The sequence below is a fragment of the Homo sapiens genome, chromosome 3 (assembly GCF_000001405.40).
Source record: "Homo sapiens chromosome 3, GRCh38.p14 Primary Assembly".
Taxonomy (NCBI): domain Eukaryota; kingdom Metazoa; phylum Chordata; class Mammalia; order Primates; family Hominidae; genus Homo; species Homo sapiens.
Window position 1 is genome coordinate 28,414,329 of NC_000003.12, and position 20,324 is coordinate 28,434,652.

General features: G+C 38.0%; 1 protein-coding gene and 1 pseudogene across 4 annotated transcripts in view; one reads left to right on the forward strand and one right to left on the reverse strand.

Annotated features, from left to right (window-relative positions):
• Nucleotides 1-20,324, forward strand: part of ZCWPW2 (zinc finger CW-type and PWWP domain containing 2) — a 177,638-nt gene that overhangs the window by 65,608 nt on the left and 91,706 nt on the right. The gene's annotated exons all lie outside the window — the stretch shown is intronic.
• CIAO2AP1 (CIAO2A pseudogene 1) lies at nucleotides 13,635-14,116 on the reverse strand (annotated as a pseudogene).

Consider the following 20,324-nt stretch of genomic DNA (forward strand, 5'->3'; position numbering starts at 1 on the left):
TCAAATCTTTTTCTCTTTCTTTTAATTTTAATTTTAGGTTCCGGGATACATGTGCAGGTTTGTTGTATAGGGAAACTCGTTTCATGGGGGTTTGTTGTGAAGATTATTTCATCAACCAGGTTTTTTTTTAATTTTATTATTATTGTACTTTAAGTTTTAGGGTACATGTGCACAACGTGCAGGTTTGTTACATATGTATACACGTGCCATGATGGTGTGCTGCACCCATTAACTCGTCATTTAGCGTTAGGTATATCTCCGAATGCTATCCCTCCCCCCTCCCCCCACCCCACAACAGTCCCCGGTGTGTGATGTTCCCCTTCCTGTGTCCATGTGTTCTCATTGTTCAATTCCCACCTATGAGTGAGAACATGCGGTGTTTGGTTTTTTGTCCTTGCGAAAGTTTGCTGAGAATGATGGTTTCCAGCTTCATCCATATCCCTACAAAGGACATGAACTCATCATTTTTTTATGGCTGCATAGTATTCCATGGTGTATATGTGCCACATTTTCTTAACCCAGTCTACCCTTGTTGGACATCTGGGTTGGTTCCAAGTCTTTGCTATTGTGAATAGTGCCGCAATAAACATACGTGTGCATGTGTCTTTATAGCAGCATGATTTATAATCCTTTGGGTATATACCCAGTAATGGGATGGCTGGGTCAAATGGTATTTCTAGTTCTAGATCCCTGAGGAATCACCACACTGACTTCCACAATGGTTGAACTAGTTTACAGTCCCAGCAACAGTTCCTATTTCTCCACATCCTCTCCAGCACCTGTTGTTTCCTGACTTTTTAATGATCGCCATTCTAACTGGTGTGAGATGGTATCTCATTGTGGTTTTGATTTGCATTTCTCTGATGGCCAGTGATGATGAGCATTTTTTCATGTGTTTTTTGGCTGCATAAATGTCTTCTTTTGAGAAGTGTCTGTTCATATCCTTCGCCCACTTTTGATGGGGTTGTTTGTTTTTTTCTTGTAAATTTGTTGGAGTTCATTGTAGATTCTGGGTATTAGCCCTTTGTCAGATGAGTAGGTTGCAAAAATTTTCTCCCATTCTGTAGGTTGCCTGTTCACTCTGATGGTGGTTTCTTCTGCTGTGCAGAAGCTCTTTAGTTTAATTAGATCCCATTTGTCAATTTTGGCTTTTGTTGCCATAGCTTTTGGTGTTTTAGACATGAAGTCCTTGCCCATGCCTATGTCCTGAATGGTATTGCCTAGGTTTTCTTCTAGGGTTTTTATGGTTTTAGGTCTAACATGTAAGTCTTTAATCCATCTTGAATTAATTATAAGGTGTATATTATAAGGTGTAATTATAAGGTGTATAATTATATATTAATTATAAGGTGTATATTAATTATAAGGTGTAAGGAAGGGATCCAGTTTCAGCTTTCTACATATGGCTAGCCAGTTTTCCCTGCACCATTTATTAAATAGGGAATCCTTTCCCCATTGCTTGTTTTTGTCAGGTTTGTCAAAGATCAGATAGTTGTAGATATGCGGCATTATTTCTGAGGGCTCTGTTCTGTTCCATTGGTCTATATCTCTGTTTTGGTACCAGTACCATGCTGTTTTGGTTACTGTAGCCTTGTAGTATAGTTTGAAGTCAGGTAGCGTGATGGTTCCAGCTTTGTTCTTTTGGCTTAGGATTGACTTGGCAATGTGGGCTCTTTTTTGGTTCCATATGAACTTTAAAGTAGTTTTTTCCAATTCTGTGAAGAAATTCATTGGTAGCTTGATGGGGATGGCATTGAATCTATAAATTACCCTGGGCAGTATGGCCATTTTCACAATATTGAATCTTCCTACCCATGAGCGTGTACTGTTCTTCCATTTGTTTGTATCCTCTTTTATTTCATTGAGCAGTGGTTTGTAGTTCTCCTTGAAGAGGTCCTTCACATCCCTTGTAAGTTGGATTCCTAGGTATTTTATTCTCTTTGAAGCAATTGTGAATGGGAGTTCACTCATGATTTGACTCTCTGTTTGTCTGTTATTGGTGTATAAGAATGCTTGTGATTTTTGCACATTGATTTTGTATCCTGAGACTTTGCTGAAGTTGCTTATCAGCTTAAGGAGATTTTGGGCTGAGACGATGGGGTTTTCTAGATATACAATCATGTCATCTGCAAACAGGGACAATTTGACTTCCTCTTTTCCTAATTGAATACCCGTTATTTCCCTCTCCTGCCTGATTGCCCTGGCCAGAACTTCCAACACTATGTTGAATAGGAGTGGTGAGAGAGGGCATCCCTGTCTTGTGCCAGTTTTCAAAGGGAATGCTTCCAGTTTTTGTCCATTCAGTATGATATTGGCTGTGGGTTTGTCATAGATAGCTCTTATTATTTTGAGATACATCCCATCAATACCTAATTTATTGAGAGTTTTTAGCATGAAGAGTTCTTGAATTTTGTCAAAGGCCTTTTCTGCATCTTTTGAGATAATCATGTGGTTTCTGTCTTTGGTTCTGTTTATATGCTGGAGTACGTTTATTGATTTTCGTATGTTGAACCAGCCTTGCATCCCAGGGATGAAGCCCACTTGATCATGGTGGATAAGCTTTTTGATGTGCTGCTGGATTCGGTTTGCCAGTATTTTATTGAGGATTTCTGCATCGATGTTCATCAAGGATATTGGTCTAAAATTCTCTTTTTTTGTTGTGTCTCTGTCAGGCTTTGGTATCAGGATGATGCTGGCCTCATAAAATGAGTTAGGCAGGATTCCCTCTCTTTTTTTTTTTTTTTTTGAAAAGGTCAACAAAATTGATAGACCGCTAGGAAGACTAATAAAGAAGAAAAGACAAAGGGGATATCACTGCTAGCAAGACAAATAAAGAAGAAAAGACAAAGGGGATATCACCACTGATCCCACAGAAATACAAACTACCATCAGAGAATACTATAAATACCTCTACACAAATAAACTAGAAAATCTAGAAGAAATGGATAAATTCCTTGACACATACACCCTCCCAAGACTAAACAAGATAGAAGTTGAATCTCTGAATAGACCAATAACAGGCTCTGAAATTGAGGCAATAATTAATAGTTTAGCAACCAAAAAAAGTCCAGGACCAGATGGATTCACAGCAGAATTCTACCAGAGGTACAAGGAGGACCTGGTACCATTCCTTTTGAAACTATTCCAATCAATAGAAAAAGAGGGAATCTTCCCTAACTCATTTTATGAGGCCAGCATCATCCTGATACCAAAGCCTGACAGAGACACAACAAAAAAAGAGAATTTTAGACCAATATCCTTGATGAACATCGATGCAGAAATCCTCAATAAAATACTGGCAAACCGAATCCAGCAGCACATCAAAAAGCTTATCCACCATGATCAAGTGGGCTTCATCCCTGGGATGCAAGGCTGGTTCAACATACGAAAATCAATAAACGTACTCCAGCATATAAACAGAACCAAAGACAGAAACCACATGATTATCTCAAAAGATGCAGAAAAGGCCTTTGACAAAATTCAAGAACTCTTCATGCTAAAAACTCTCAATAAATTAGGTATTGATGGGATGTATCTCAAAATAATAAGAGCTATCTATGACAAACCCACAGCCAATATCATACTGAATGGACAAAAACTGGAAGCATTCCCTTTGAAAACTGGCACAAGACAGGGATGCCCTCTCTCACCACTCCTATTCAACATAGTGTTGGAAGTTCTGGCCAGGGCAATCAGGCAGGAGAGGGAAATAACGGGTATTCAATTAGGAAAAGAGGAAGTCAAATTGTCCCTGTTTGCAGATGACATGATTGTATATCTAGAAAACCCCATCGTCTCAGCCCAAAATCTCCTTAAGCTGATAAGCAACTTCAGCAAAGTCTCAGGATACAAAATCAATGTGCAAAAATCACAAGCATTCTTATACACCAATAACAGACAAACAGAGAGTCAAATCATGAGTGAACTCCCATTCACAATTGCTTCAAAGAGAATAAAATACCTAGGAATCCAACTTACAAGGGATGTGAAGGACCTCTTCAAGGAGAACTACAAACCACTGCTCAATGAAATAAAAGAGGATACAAACAAATGGAAGAACAGTACACGCTCATGGGTAGGAAGATTCAATATTGTGAAAATGGCCATACTGCCCAGGGTAATTTATAGATTCAATGCCATCCCCATCAAGCTACCAATGAATTTCTTCACAGAATTGGAAAAAACTACTTTAAAGTTCATATGGAACCAAAAAAGAGCCCACATTGCCAAGTCAATCCTAAGCCAAAAGAACAAAGCTGGAACCATCACGCTACCTGACTTCAAACTATACTACAAGGCTACAGTAACCAAAACAGCATGGTACTGGTACCAAAACAGAGATATAGACCAATGGAACAGAACAGAGCCCTCAGAAATAATGCCGCATATCTACAACTATCTGATCTTTGACAAACCTGACAAAAACAAGCAATGGGGAAAGGATTCCCTATTTAATAAATGGTGCAGGGAAAACTGGCTAGCCATATGTAGAAAGCTGAAACTGGATCCCTTCCTTACACCTTATAATTAATATACACCTTATAATTAATATATAATTATACACCTTATAATTACACCTTATAATATACACCTTATAATTAATTCAAGATGGATTAAAGACTTACATGTTAGACCTAAAACCATAAAAACCCTAGAAGAAAACCTAGGCAATACCATTCAGGACATAGGCATGGGCAAGGACTTCATGTCTAAAACACCAAAAGCTATGGCAACAAAAGCCAAAATTGACAAATGGGATCTAATTAAACTAAAGAGCTTCTGCACAGCAGAAGAAACCACCATCAGAGTGAACAGGCAACCTACAGAATGGGAGAAAATTTTTGCAACCTACTCATCTGACAAAGGGCTAATACCCAGAATCTACAATGAACTCCAACAAATTTACAAGAAAAAAACAAACAACCCCATCAAAAGTGGGCGAAGGATATGAACAGACACTTCTCAAAAGAAGACATTTATGCAGCCAAAAAACACATGAAAAAATGCTCATCATCACTGGCCATCAGAGAAATGCAAATCAAAACCACAATGAGATACCATCTCACACCAGTTAGAATGGCGATCATTAAAAAGTCAGGAAACAACAGGTGCTGGAGAGGATGTGGAGAAATAGGAACTGTTGCTGGGACTGTAAACTAGTTCAACCATTGTGGAAGTCAGTGTGGTGATTCCTCAGGGATCTAGAACTAGAAATACCATTTGACCCAGCCATCCCATTACTGGGTATATACCCAAAGGATTATAAATCATGCTGCTATAAAGACACATGCACACGTATGTTTATTGCGGCACTATTCACAATAGCAAAGACTTGGAACCAACCCAGATGTCCAACAAGGGTAGACTGGGTTAAGAAAATGTGGCACATATACACCATGGAATACTATGCAGCCATAAAAAAATGATGAGTTCATGTCCTTTGTAGGGATATGGATGAAGCTGGAAACCATCATTCTCAGCAAACTTTCGCAAGGACAAAAAACCAAACACCGCATGTTCTCACTCATAGGTGGGAATTGAACAATGAGAACACATGGACACAGGAAGGGGAACATCACACACCGGGGACTGTTGTGGGGTGGGGGGAGGGGGGAGGGATAGCATTCGGAGATATACCTAACGCTAAATGACGAGTTAATGGGTGCAGCACACCATCATGGCACGTGTATACATATGTAACAAACCTGCACGTTGTGCACATGTACCCTAATACCGAAAGTATAATTAAAAAAAAAAACAGCTCCTGGAATCATTGATTTTTTGAAGGGGTTTTTGTGTCTGTATTTCCTTCAGTTCTGCTCTGATCTTAGTTATTTCTTGCCTTCTGCTAGCTTTTGAATGTGTTTGCTCTTGCTTCTCTAGTTCTTTTAATTGTGGCGTTAGGGTGTCAGTTTTAGATCTTTCCTGCTTTCTCTTGTGGGCATTTAGTGCTATAAATTTCCCTCTACACACTGCTTTGAATGTGTCCCAGAGATTCTGGTATGCTGTGTCTTTGTTCTCGTTGGTTTCAAAGAACATCTTTATTTCTGCCTTCATTTCATTATGTAATCACCCCGGTATTAAGCCTGGTATCCCTTGGTTATTTTTCCTGATCCTCTCCCTCCTCCCACCTTCCACCCTCTAGTAGGCCCTGTGTCTTTTATTCCCTTCTACATGTCCATGTGTTCTCATCATCAAATATTTTTCTCTAATCACTTTCTCACTTTTTTTTAGTTTTTAATTATACTTTATGTTGTTTTTTTTTTCATTACTTGTATTACTTTCTTAATTTCTATTTTCTCAACTTGAACTTTCAGGTACAATTTTGATCTTTGTAAGGCCATGCTGCTGTGATAAGCTTTCACTTTTTGGTAGGGGTATTATTTATTTTTACCATAACAACTTTATATTAGACTCTACTGTAATCTTTTCTTCTTGAGTACTTTTATATGAAATGAGTTCTTATTTGTTCGGAAGGCAAGAGGGAGTAATAACTTTTTTTCAGTTCATTTTCTCTCTGTTGTTCAGATTGGTTTATTCCTATTGTTCTCTTTTTAAGTTCACTGATTCTTTTCTCTGTTATATTCATGCTGTATTGAAAGTATCCATTCAGCTTTTAAAAATATTGTATTTTCAGTTCTGAAATGTTCATTTGGTTCTTTATATTTCCTATTTATTTACTAGACTTTATATTCTTTTCATTTTGGATCTTATTTAAACCTATTTAGCAGGCTGCTTTTGCTACTGTGTCAGCAGGATATGTGGGAGCACCTCTTTGTTACTCCCACATGGGAGTAAGAGTCAAGGTTCCCCACTCAGCTTCTATTGATTTCCAAGGGAGGGAAGGGTGCCTCAATTCCACTGTGCAGAGGTGAGAGTTCAAGCTCCCCACTCACAACTCTAGGTAGTAGGGGTAGGATGACCTTTTTATTGTTGCCAGGTGAACTTCACTGACACCATAGTGGGAGGGTCTTATTAACCCTGGAAGGTGGTAAAAATCTTGGCTTCCTACTAAGCCTTTTCTGCCACCACCTGAGCAGGAAGGGTGCTCCATTATTGCTGGGTGATTTGCAGTCCAGGCTCACCACTGGCCTTTGGTATGGGGGTAAATGTGGAGGCCATATATTTTCCATGATGTTTTTCTGGGATAAAGCAGTTATTCTGTGTAAGTTTTCTGTCTTGCTAGGCTCCCCCTATCCTGGTCCTTTGGCTAAAAAGAGCAGGCTTCATTGGAGCTTTTTTTGTTTGTCTGGTTGCACTCACTGGTGTTTCTGGGTTGCTGACTTCTTCAGTACCCAGCTGAGGAATATAAAGTGCAAGAAACTCACTGCCATGTCATTCCTCAAGTCACAGGATCCCTAGCCAGTCTATCGTTTTCTCTTCAACTTTGAGAATCTTTTTATGTTTTTTTTTTCATATATAACATGCAGATTTTTTGATAGAGGGAGAAATAGAAAGAAATGAATGTGCTTCATCTTGTTGAGAACCATATGTTGGAGAATAGTTTGTGTGTGTGTGTGTGTGTGTGTGTGTGTGTGTGTGTGTGTGTTTAGCTTCTTTTCACCTAATTCAAAGTTCCAGAGCCCTTATTTTATTGTTTTCTCAAAGTATCAAAAATATGACCCGTGTTCTTAAATTTCCTAGGTTTTTCTCTCCCCCATGTTTATTTTTAAATTTTTAACACTTTACATTTTTATTTATTTTAAGTAATTGACTTTATCTTTTAGAGTGGTTTCAGGTTTGCAGAAAAATTGAGTGGAAAGTATGGAGAGTTTCCGTATGTCCCTTTCTCCCTCTGACACCCACAGCTGCCCCACCCTCAATATCCCACACTGGTGTGGTACATTTGTTATAATCTATGAAACAGCATTCACTTATCATTATCAATGAAGTCCATAGTTTACATTAGGATTCATTCTTTGTGAATGAATATTCACAGAATATATAGTCTGTGAATTTTGACAAATGTATAATGACATGTGTCCACCATTATAGTATATACAGAATAGTTATATTGGCCTAAAAATCCTCTGTGTTTCTCCTATTTACCCTTCTATCCCTCCAAACTCTTGGTGACCATTTATCTTTCTACCGTCTTCATAGTATTGTCTTTTCTAGAATGCCATATAGTTGAGATTGTATAGTATTTAGCCTTTTCAGACTATCTTTTATTTAGTAATATGCATTTACGTCTCTTCCATGTCCTTTTATGGCTTGATTACTCAGTATTTTTGCTACTGAATAATAGTCCATTGTCTATACATAGGACAACTTATCTATCCATTCACCTACTGAAGGATATCTTGGTTACTTCCAAGTTTTGGCAGTTATGAATAAAGCTTCTATACACATCCATGTGCAACCTTCTATGTGGACCTGTTTTCAGTTCCTTTGGGTAAATACCAAGGACTGCAATTGCTGGACAGTATGCTATGAGTATGTGTGTGTGTGTGTGTTTTTTTTTAAGAAAATGCTAAACTGTCTTCCAAAGTGGCTGTATTATTTTGCATTCCCAACAGTGTTGCTTCACCTCCCTGCCAGCATTTGGTGTTACCTGAATTTTGAATTCTAATAGGTGTGTAGTGGTATTTCATTGTTTTAGTTTGTATTTTCCTAAGGACATATGCTTTTGAATATCTTTTTATATGCTTATTTGCCATCTTGTATATCTTCTTTGGTAGGGTGTCTGTTCAGATATTTTGCGCATTTTAAAATCTGGTTATTCATTTTCTTATTGTAAAGTTTGAAGAGTTCTTTGTATATTTTGGATATCACTGTCTTATCAGATATATGTTTTGCAAATATTTTCTCCCACTCTGTGGCTTGTCATCTTATTCTTTTGACAGTGACTTTGCAGAGCAGGTATTTTTTTATTTTAATGAACTCTGCTTTATCATTTTTTTCTGTCATGGTTGGTGCCTTTGATGTTATATCCCCACTTTTATTTGTATCTTCTTTTTCCTTTGTTTCTTATTGATCCTGTCCTCTTCAGTTTAGATTTTGCTCCCAGCAGTTTCTCATCCTGTGAGCTATCTTTTTTTTTTTTTTTTTTTTTTTAGACAGAGTCTCACTCTGTCGCCCAGACTGGAGTGCAGTGGTGCGATCTAGGCTCACTGCAAGCTCTGCCTCCCGGGTTCACGCCATTCTCCTGTCTCAGCCTCCCGAGTAGCTGGGACTACAGGTGCCTGCTACCACGCCCAGCTAATTTTTTGTATTTTTAGTAGAGATGGGGTTTCACCATGTTAGCCAGGATGGTCTCGATCTCCTAACCTCATGATCCTCCCACCTCGGCCTCCCAAAGTGCTGGAATTACAGGCTTGAGCCACTGCGCCCGGCCCCTGTGAGCTTTTATCCTGAAACGGATCTTGGTTGTTTGCTTCATAGGGCCCACACTTTTCCAACACTTGCAGATTTTGTTGCAATCCACCTCACAGTTTTGGCTGCTGTTCTTAGTTCAACTTGCTGCACTTTCCAGTAAATGCTTCTTGCAAGTTTGAAGTCCTCATTCCTCCTCCTCCCACCCTCCTTCCTCTCAAATAGATGCTAATATTATATGGATCATATAATTTTTAGTAGTTTGTGCCCATTTGCTCCTATTTTGGTGTTCATGTGGGTAGCTTACCACTTAGTTTCATCATAGGTGGTGTGTGTCAGGTTTGGTTTTGCTATTATAGTTGCCCTACCTGTATTTATGGGGAAATTTCAGGATATTCTAAAACTATACCACCATTGCTGCTATCTTTCCAGAATTCCTTACTATTTTACATTGCGTTTTTCAACCTAACATTCTTAAAGCTGTATATTCTGGCTCACTACCTTGTTTTCATTCATGTTCAACTATTCTCCATGAAGAAAATAGGATGTTGGCTTTCATAGAGAGACTGTGGTGGTCTTATTCCAACACACACACACACACACACACACACACACACACACACACAGAGCCTTTAAATCAATACCTAGATGTATGTTCTTGCTCTATCACTTATGGTTATGGACTGAATTCTGTTCTCTCGAAATACATATGTTGGAGTCCAACCCTCAGTGCCTCAGAATGTGACCATATTTGCAGATATGATTCTTAAAGAGGTAATTAAGTGAAAATGAGATCAAAAGTAAGAAGGGCCCTAATCCAATATGACTGGCATCCTTATAAGAAGAGGAGATTAGAACACAGACGTGCACAGAAGAAAGACCATGTGAGGACATAGCAAGAAGGTGGGCATCTATAAGCCAAGGAGAGGGGCCTCAGAAGAAACCAAACATGTCAATGTATTGATCTTATATGTTAATCCCCCACAACTATGAAAAAATAAATCTCTATTGTTTAAGCCACCCAGTCTGTGGTATTTTGTTATGGTAGCCCTAGCAAACCAATGTGCTTACTGTCTTTGCACGTATGGGAAATCAGGGAAAATGTGGCCTTTGTTACTGAGGGCTTTTCTGAAGATCAAATGTGATAATGTTGTTTAAAAATTATATTGTTAATTAGCTTCCATGTGATAATTAGGAGGGACATCAAGAGGCAATAGATATGTAAGAAAAAATATTTTAAAAGACATGAATATGAACACTTATTTTATGAGAACTTATGAAGGTATTTGTAGTCCCACATAATTTTTCTTGTCTCTAATTAACATTTTGGAAGCACAGTATTTGTATTCTCTAATGAAAATTCTGAAGTTTTAATTCTAACTCAAAAAATTGATTTTTTTGTCACTATGTCTGAAATGCTGTGTTAGAAATTTGATTAAAAATTTTCTTTTGCAGTGTTGTGCTAGTCGCTGAGGCTTAAGACTTAAAAATGAAACATGTTTTACCCCAGTACCTCAATTATCTCTAATCTATGATTAGGGACATCAAAATGCCCAAAAAATAAGCTGTATCTACCTTCTTATTTACTGGAGAGTAGAATGCATCTGGCTAATTTGTCACATATATTCCTCTTTATAAACTAAGTTGAGCACACACCTAAAATACAGATTAAGAAACTCAAATATACTTATATTGCTTATTCAGTAACACAAATATATAGAAAGATAATAACAGGATAAATTACAATAGAAAAATATAAGGATAGCATTAACCAACTAGAAACAAATATTAGATCTTAATTAAGCAAAGCCATAGATGTTGAAGCTCCAAGTGGAAAGATTAGCTGCTGGCCTCAGAGATACCTAGTGGTGTAGCATTATCTGTGTCAATTCTCTTTAGCCCATGGCCTTACATGTAGCTTCTAAGGCTCAGAAACTCAATCTTGTCAACATTTCAGAGTTATTCTTTCTCAAAAAAGTTGACTCTCTGTAATAAAGCTAACTAGAAACTGATACAGAATCTAGAACTGCTTTATATCTATATAATAAAAACAAATAATTGTCAAGAGAATAGCACTTTCTTTTCCTATGTGCAGACTCCAGGAATAATCAAATTATAACAGTTATATCTACTTCTACATTCTGGCACAGCATATATTTATGTACTTATAAAAATATACATGTAGGCCAGGTGCGGTGGCTAATGCCTGTAATCCCAGCACTTTGGGAGGCCAAGGCGGGAGGATCACCTGAGGTTGGGAGTTCGAGACCAACCTGACCAACATGCAGAAACCCTGTCTCTACTAAAATTTCAAAATTAGCTGGGCGTGGTGGCACATGTCTGTAATCCCAGCAACTCTGGAGGCTGAGGCAGGAGAATTGCTTGAACCTGGGAGGCAGAGGTTGCAGTGAGCCAAGATAGCCCTATTGCACTCCTGCCTGGGCAACAAAAGCAAAACTCTGTCACAAAAAAAAATTATATTTATATATATATATGTATATATAGCATTTTGCCTTTGCGTTTTACCTTTATATACTTGAAGATGGAAACATCTGTATGTACCAGAAAGATAAAACTCTCCACAATGTTTAAGCAGTCTTGTTTTTTTAAAAATTGATCATATGCTATTGTATTTGGCTAGGAAGAGTCTGGACTCTTTAGAGAAAAAAAATGGTGCATATCTCACTTAATTCAGGAAGATACATTGTCAAGCAGAAACTAGGCTCTGTTATGGTAACTACTTCAGGAATGTTTACACAGATATTTGACAAAGCTGTGTCATAAATATGAAAATTAATTTATAGAAAATATGTTTGCATTATATTGTAGTCCAGTTTGGTAATAAAATATGGCTTTAAGTTAACAAAGCAATCAAGTGATACTTTTTAGACACAGTATATAAATTGATAAATTGAGATTTCTACTGGATCCTTTCAGTATTATAAAGTATTAATTGATTACTTTTCATTTGCATTATTTTGCATATCAATTAATATACTAATAATATGTGTATCTGAAAGGAAAACTTCCCTTTTCCATCAGCCCCTGCAATTAGGTACAGTCCAGAGATTTCTTGGCAAATATAATATTTAGTCATGATTCCAACTCATCCATTTTGTTTCCAACAGTTTAGGGAAAAGCCCCAAGTAAAGTTTGCTCTCCACTTATACATCCAAACCACTATTTAAACATGAACTCATGTATTTCTAATTGGCTACATGGCAACTGAAACCATGATTAAACTTCAGCTTCTATGGGGGCAATAATTGTCTTATTAAAGATCATTTCTACTGGATAACAAATATGTAAGACATGAGTTTCTTCCTGATACATTTGCATTCCCTTGAGCCTACTTGTCCTGCCAAAATTTGCCCTTTCCTCCGATGGATTTCAATGACTGGTATCTATCTGATTTTGTTGCATTTGTGCATTTTACTTCTCACCACCCACAGATTCCAAAATTGATCGTATACTTTTCTTGTAATTCTGATAAGTTACCATTGGGTTGCCCACTCCTCTCCCTTTCATCATTAAATCTCCTGATAATGCTTCAGAATTTCTCATCCGAGTAAAAGGAAAAATAGAGAAATGGAAGTGCACAATGCATTATCATGGTTGACAGTGTCTGAACTCAGAATGAGGTCAGTGTAAGGGCAAAAAGTGGACATCAGCTTTCTTCAAACACCTCAAGTCTGAAAAGATGATGAATGTAGGAGATGAGGAGAAGTAATCATGTTTTCTACATCTATTGTCTCTGCTCAGCTTTTCCTTTAGTTTAGCACATTCATTTTTAACTGTGATGTACAGACTGAGTCAGAGAATTTCCCTCTGCCTCATGAAGAAATACTGAAATGCCCCATTTATTTGGCCATGTGACAATATCTTTCACAATTTGTCTTTAGATCGGCATGCAAGATTTTCTATAATTTAATATGTTTAAATATGAACAGAAGCTTTCTCTTTCATTAGCATCCAATTCTTTTTGAGGGTCGTCTCTGTTTTTATTTATAAAGTAATAATTTAAAATGAATACTCTTGGGCCCAATAGAGATGTGATTTATCAAAGACTATCAAAATAGCCATTCATGTTATACATAATAACTGCAAAATACTTCCCACTTTTATGACTTAAGTGTGAGAAATCTTGAGACTATTTTATGCTGAATGGAGTAGGTGTTACTTTTAATTTGATATTGCTTGACAATAATCCTTTTAGAAATTTTAAATCACCAACTATTAAATATAAACCCCTTACATTTTACAGTTTTAACACTGTAATGTAACAATTATGGATTGGTTGCTTTTAAAATAGATGTTAATTAGCTTGAAAGACCCATTGTTTCTAAATTTCTGTTAAGTTGGGGTCTCCATTGCTGCTGCCATGGAGTCTCCATTTCTGCTTCTTAGTGAGGTCTTCTTTCTAGTGGGTTCCTTCAGTAATGTAAATTTCCAATGTAAGTTTACAAGGTAAACTCCACTCAAGTTTGCTCTTAAGGACAGCCTAATAACAGTCGCCAAACAATGAGATACTGTGGTGTGTGAACCTGATAATAACCAGAGAGTCTTCTTCATTGAGGTCCTGACGCTACAATTGACTTTCTGTTATCACTTAGAGTTCTTTTAACGTATTAGGCTTCTTTGGGTTCCAGATAGTTGGAAACAATGTGTAATGCTCTAGACCTTCTTCTTCTAAAATCTATGACTGCCAGGTAGTCCTCTACCTGTGCTTTCCCTAACTCAGAGGCACAAGAGCCATAGGACTCTGCTCAGCCTCTGGGGAGCAACTGAACATCTACTTCATTCTCACATTCCACCATCTCTGTTGACCGTGCACCCATGTCACCACATCCTGGCAGTAGAGTTGGGACTCATCAACTTCCTAGAATCCGAATTTTTATGTCACTAATACCAGGCATGAAATATTTTTATTAGTTTACATTGTTCTGTTAATTATGATCAGTAATGACACAATTTGGCTCTGTAACCCACCTGAATCTCATCTTGAATTGTAATCCAAACTGTAATCTCCACGTGTTGGGGGCAGGACCTTGTGGGAGGTAATTAGAACATGGGAGCAATTCCCCCATGCTGTTCTCATGATACTGAGTCAGATCTCATGAGATCCAATGGTTTTATAAGGGACTTTTCCCCCTTCACTTGGCACTATTCTCACTTCTCTCTCCTGCTGTCATGTGAAGAAGGATGTGTTTGCTTCCCCTTTTGTCATGATTTTAAGTTTCCTGAGGCCTCCCCAACCATGTGGAACTGGGGAGTCAATTTAACCTCTTTCCTTTATAAATTACCCAGTCTTGGGTATTTCTTCATAGCAGCATGACAACAGACTAATACAGGAAATTGGTACCACACAGAGTGGGCTGCTGCTATAAGGATACCCAAAAATGTGGAAGCAACTTTGGAACTAGGTAGCAGGCTGAGATTGGAATAGTTTGGAGGGCTCGATACAAGACAGAAAGATGTGGGAAAGTTTGGAACTTCCTAGAGACTTGTTGAATGACTTTGACCAAAATGCTGATAGTGATATGGACGATGAAGTCCAGGCTGAGGTGGTCTCAGATGAAAATGAGGAACTTCTTGGGACCTGGAATAAAGGTGACTCTTACTATGCCTTAGCAAAAAGACTGGCAGCATTTTACCCTTGCCCTAGAGATTCTGTGGAACTTTGAACTTGAGAGAGATGATTTAGGGTATCTGGTGGAAGAAATTTTAAGCAGCAATGTGATCAAGAAGTGACTTGGGTGCTCTAAAAAGCATTCAGTTTTATGTATTCATTCACAAAGATATGGTTTGGAATTGGAATTTATGTTTAAAAGGGAAGTAGAGCATAAAAGTTTGGAAAATTAGCAGCCTGATGATGTGATAGAAAAGAAAAACCCATTTTCTGAGAAGAAATTCAAGCCAGCTGCAGAAATTTGCATAGTAACAAGAAGCCAAATGTTAATCACCAAGACAATGGGGAAAATGTCTCCAGGGCATATCAGAGGTCTTCATGGTAGCCCTTCACTTCACAGGCCCACAGGCCTAGGAGGAAATAATGGTTTCACGGGCCGGGCCCAGTGCCTTGCTGCTTTGTGTAGTCGTGGGACTTGGTGCCCTGTGTCCCAGCCATGGCTAAAAGGGGTCAAATGCAGCTCAGACTGTTGCTTCAAAGGGTACAAGCCCCAAGCCTTGGCAGCTTACACATGGTGTTGGGCCTGCAGGTACATAGAAATAAAGAATTGAAGTTTCAGAACCTCCACCTAGATTTCAGAGGATGTATGGAAATGCCTGGATGTCCAGGCAGAAGTTTGCTTCAAGGACAGAGCCCTCATGGAGAACCTCTGCTAGGAGAGTGCAGAAGGGAAATGTGGGGTTGGAGCCCCCACACAGAGTCCCCACTGAGGCACTGCCTAGTGGAGCTGTGAGAAGAGGGCCATCTTCTTCCAGACTCAAGAATGGTAGATCCACTGACAGCTTGCACCGTGCAACTGGAAAAGCCACAGACACTCAATGCCAGCCTGTTAAAGCAACTGGGAGTGGGACTGTACCTTGCACAGCCACAGGGGTGGAGCTGCCCAAGGCTGTGGGAGCCCACCTCTTGCATCAGCGTGACCTGGATGTGAGACATGGAGTCAAAGGAGATAATTTCAAAGCTTTATGATTTGGCTGCCCCACTGGATTATGGACTTACATGGGGCCTGAGGCCCCTTCGTTTTGGCCAATTTCTTATTTGGAATGAGTGTATTTACACAATGCCTTGTACTCACATGGTATCTAAGAATTAACTAACTTGCTTTTGATTTCACAGGCTTATAGACAGAAGGGACTTGCCTTGTCTCAGATGAGACTTTGGACTTGGAATTTTGGGTTAAGCTGGAATGAGTTAAGACTTTGGAGGACTGTTGGAAGGGCATGATTGTGTTTTGTAATGTGAGGACATGAGATTTGTGAGGGGCCCGTGGCAGAATGATATGGTTTGGCTCTGTGTCCCCACCCAAATCTCATCTTGAATTGTAATCTGAATTGTAATTTCCACAGGTTGGGGGTGGGACCTTGTGGGAGGTGATTAGATCATGGGGCAGTTCCCCTATGCTCTTCTCATAATAGTGAGTTCTCATGAGATTTGATGGTTTTATAAGGAGCTTTCCCCCCTTCACTCAGCACTTCTTTCACTTCTCTCTCCTGCTGCCATGTGAAGAAGGACATGTTTGCTACCCCTTCTGCCATGATTGTAAGTTTCCTAAGGCCTCCCCAGTCATGTGGAACTGTGAGTTAATTAAATTTCTTTCCTTTATAAATTACCCAGTCACAGGCAGTTCTTTATAGCAGCATGAGAATGAACTAATACAAGTAATAACTTTTTTATTTGGTTATGAGTTGCATAGATTTATTTTATAACTTTGATATCAATTGATAATTTAACAGATTAATAACCTACAGTCCTCAAATTCAAGCAATTTATGGATATTTTATTTTTGTGATTTCAGATTCTTTACAGCATGATATGTATACTTTCTTTAGATTTTAAAATTATCTAAACAATTTAGTTTACAAATAGTTACCTTAATGAAGCAAATATATCTTTGTATCATTTTTCCTCCTCTCAGTTGTACCAAATATCTTATATATATATGATTGTATTTGTTTGCTAGGGCTGCCATAACAAAATGTCACAGACTGGGTGGCTTAAACAACAGAAATTTATTTTCTCAGTTCTGGAGGCTAGAAATCCTGAGATTAAAGTGTCTGCAGGATTAATTTTTTTTTTAAGACCCTCTTCTTGGCTTGCAGATGGCTATTTTCTTGCTGTGCCCTATCATGGTCTTCCTTCTGTGCATGTCTGTCTTCATTTCTTCTCCTTATAAGGAGACCAGTCATACTGGATTAGGGCCTACCCTAATGAACTCATTTTAACGTCACTACCTTTTTTAAGGCTCTCTGTTCAAATATGACCACATCTGAAGCTAGGACTTCAGCATACAAATTTGAGGGTGTGAGGAGGACAAAATTCAGCCCATAATGATGTCACTTTACAATTTTTTAATTTGCCAAAAACCAAAAATGTGTAAAGTATATGTTTGTTTGAACTTTATAACAACACAGTGAGGAACCAGTTACTATGAGGTCTAGATACGTGCTTGGTGCCTGTATTAGTTTGTTCTCACACTGCTAATAAAGACATACTTGAGACTGGGTAATTTATAAAGAAAAGAGGTTTAATTGACTCACAGTTCAGCATGGCTGGGGAGGCCTCCAGGAACTTAGAATCATGGTGGAAGGGGAAGCAAACACATCCTTCTTCACATGGTGGCAGCAAGGAGAAGTGCTGAGCAAAGAGGGAAAAGCCCCTTATAAAAGCATCAGATCTCATGAGAACTCACTCACTATCACAAGAACAGCAGCATTGGGGTAACCACCCTCATGACTCAATTACCTCCCACCATGTCCCTCCTACAACATGTGGGGATTATGGGAATTACAATTCAAGATGAGATTTGGGTGGGGACACAAAGCCTAACCATATCAGTGCGTCTTGTCTGGTTTATGGCAAAACCAGAGAAAAATGTTGCTGGTCAAGAGACTTGAGCATGTGTTGGCCTTTGCTGTACCACTAGGAAATGTTGGAAAAATCTAAGCATTCTGTGTCTCAGATCACTGAACTATAACATGTGGGGGCATACGAAAGGTAGAGGGGTACAGGATTTGGGATTATGCACATCATTGTCTAAATGGGACTTTACAGTGCTGCAAAGTGAAGTAACACTTGACAGCTGTACAGATTTTTGAATGGTTTGGTATATTAGGTATGCATATTTTATATCTTGATCTGTAAAACTCGATCATATTTCTACTGTACATTCCTTAATCATAGCTTACTGACCTTATTTGCTGTCTTCCCTTCCTGCTTTATTCTCTGAACAGTAGGTCAGAGTGTAGAATGATTGGTTAATTTTTTAACACTTAGTTGATATATAAGTGCAATTTTGCCATGGATGGTTTTAGCCTAATAATTTACATTGTGCTTTTAAATACAAGATGATAATTTTGATTTTAGAGTTGTAGTTTTTAAAATAAAAAGTCAATTTTTTGATACATTAATACTAAGTATTTAAGAAATTGTAGACTTAATATATATGTAAGATAAATAAAATATCTAGCTATAGTTACAATGTATTATCTGAATGAAAAAAATAGATATTACTGAGACGAACTCATCTGTATCTTTTTCAGTTTTATTTCACTGAAAGCACACCATCATTCTATCCCTGGTCTTGATACAGTAGCAATCCTTATTGATCAAATATCAGATAAGAAAGGCCTTTTGTTATTTTAGTAACTTTACTCTTTTGACTATGGTATCAGATAATCCTCATCAAATTGATTTTATCATAGAGCTAGAGAAAACCAGAGATCATATGGTTGCCCCACTTCAATAAGCAAAGCATATTCTTACACACACACACACACACACACACAAACACACATACTCCCTACACTATACACCACACATACTTTGGTACTCTTTATCAAATGGTTGTGTAGGCTCTTAACCAGCAAGGAAATGTAATTTATGAGGCTGAATATTCCATCTTTGGGCTAATTATTCTTAAGTCCTTTTCTTTTTTTCCTTTCTTGAGTTGAATATAGCCTCCCTGTGGTTTCCCTCCCTTTGGTACTGATCCCGCTTCTGAGCCATGACTGTGATCTAATCTAGTGGAAAACATTTGGGTTTTGGCATTAGAAAGTCCTTTTTCAAACCATGTTTTCACCTTTTATTAACAGTCTTCTTAAGAAAGTTACAGAATAGCTCCAAGACTCAGTTTTCATTTAAATAAAGAAAACAGGCTGGGTGCAGTGGCTCATGCCTGTAATCCCAGCACTCTGGGAGGCCAAGGCGGGCGGATCACTTGAGGTCAGGAGTTCGAGACCAGCCTGACCAACATGGTGAAACCCCATCTCTACTAATTAGCCAGGCATGGTGGCAGGCGCCTGTAATCCCAGTTACTCGGGAGACTGAGGCTGGAGAATTGCTTGAACCCAGGAGACGGAGGCTGCGGTGAGCCGAGATCACACCATTGGACTCCAGCCTGGGTGACAGAGCAAGACTCCCTCTTAAAAAAAAAAAAAACAAAAAACAAAAAACAAAAAAAACTTACTTCATCACTTCATCAGGTTGGTGGGAGGATCAAATTGATAATCAAAGCCTCAAAGGAGTGCTGGGAACACTGACATCATTAACTTGCCTCAGTAAGTTGCCTCTTCCAATTCCACCCCAGTTTTTTTTTTTTTTGACCACTTTTAAATATCTGTGATATTCCTCCTCAGTTTCTCTTATAATACCCTTGAATCAATTTTCATTTTACTGTTTAAAATTACAGAAATTATTTTTAAAATATTGAGCAAATATATTACTTAAAAATTCTAATTTTCTTAGTGCTAAATTTGTTTTTATTTACATTCACAATCAGGAATTTTTACAGTGATTATGTTCCCATAAATTTTCAGTTTATTTCAAACTTCCTTTTAAACAGAACATGATAAACCAAATAAAATGAATAACTTCTTAGGTGTGGGTTTTCTCACTTCAGAGGTTTTTCAGGACTATTCTCTAATTTCCTGTTCAGACTCCATATAGAATTATTATTTCAGTTTTTGCTTATCAGGGGTGTTAATGACAGGAGCTCTCTGCTGCATATTATGAAATAGAAAAACCAAATACAACAAAAAAAAGTAGAATAGAATGGGTAAAAGTGGGAAATGAAGACCAAAGAGAAAAATGAAACATATCAATAAATTTGTAGAGGTTTATGTCATGAAATAACATATCTCTAAATGTTTGTTTTTAATAAAGAATAAATTTTATTTTCAATGTTGAAGATTTTTTAACAATGTGGTCACCTGGCAATGCAGCAGATGGAGGAAGGAGACAGGATGGAACTGCAGAGCTCTATTTCTGCTTTTCCCACAGTAGTTTGACTCCACAGCATTGTCAAAGCCTGAGCTATCAGGAT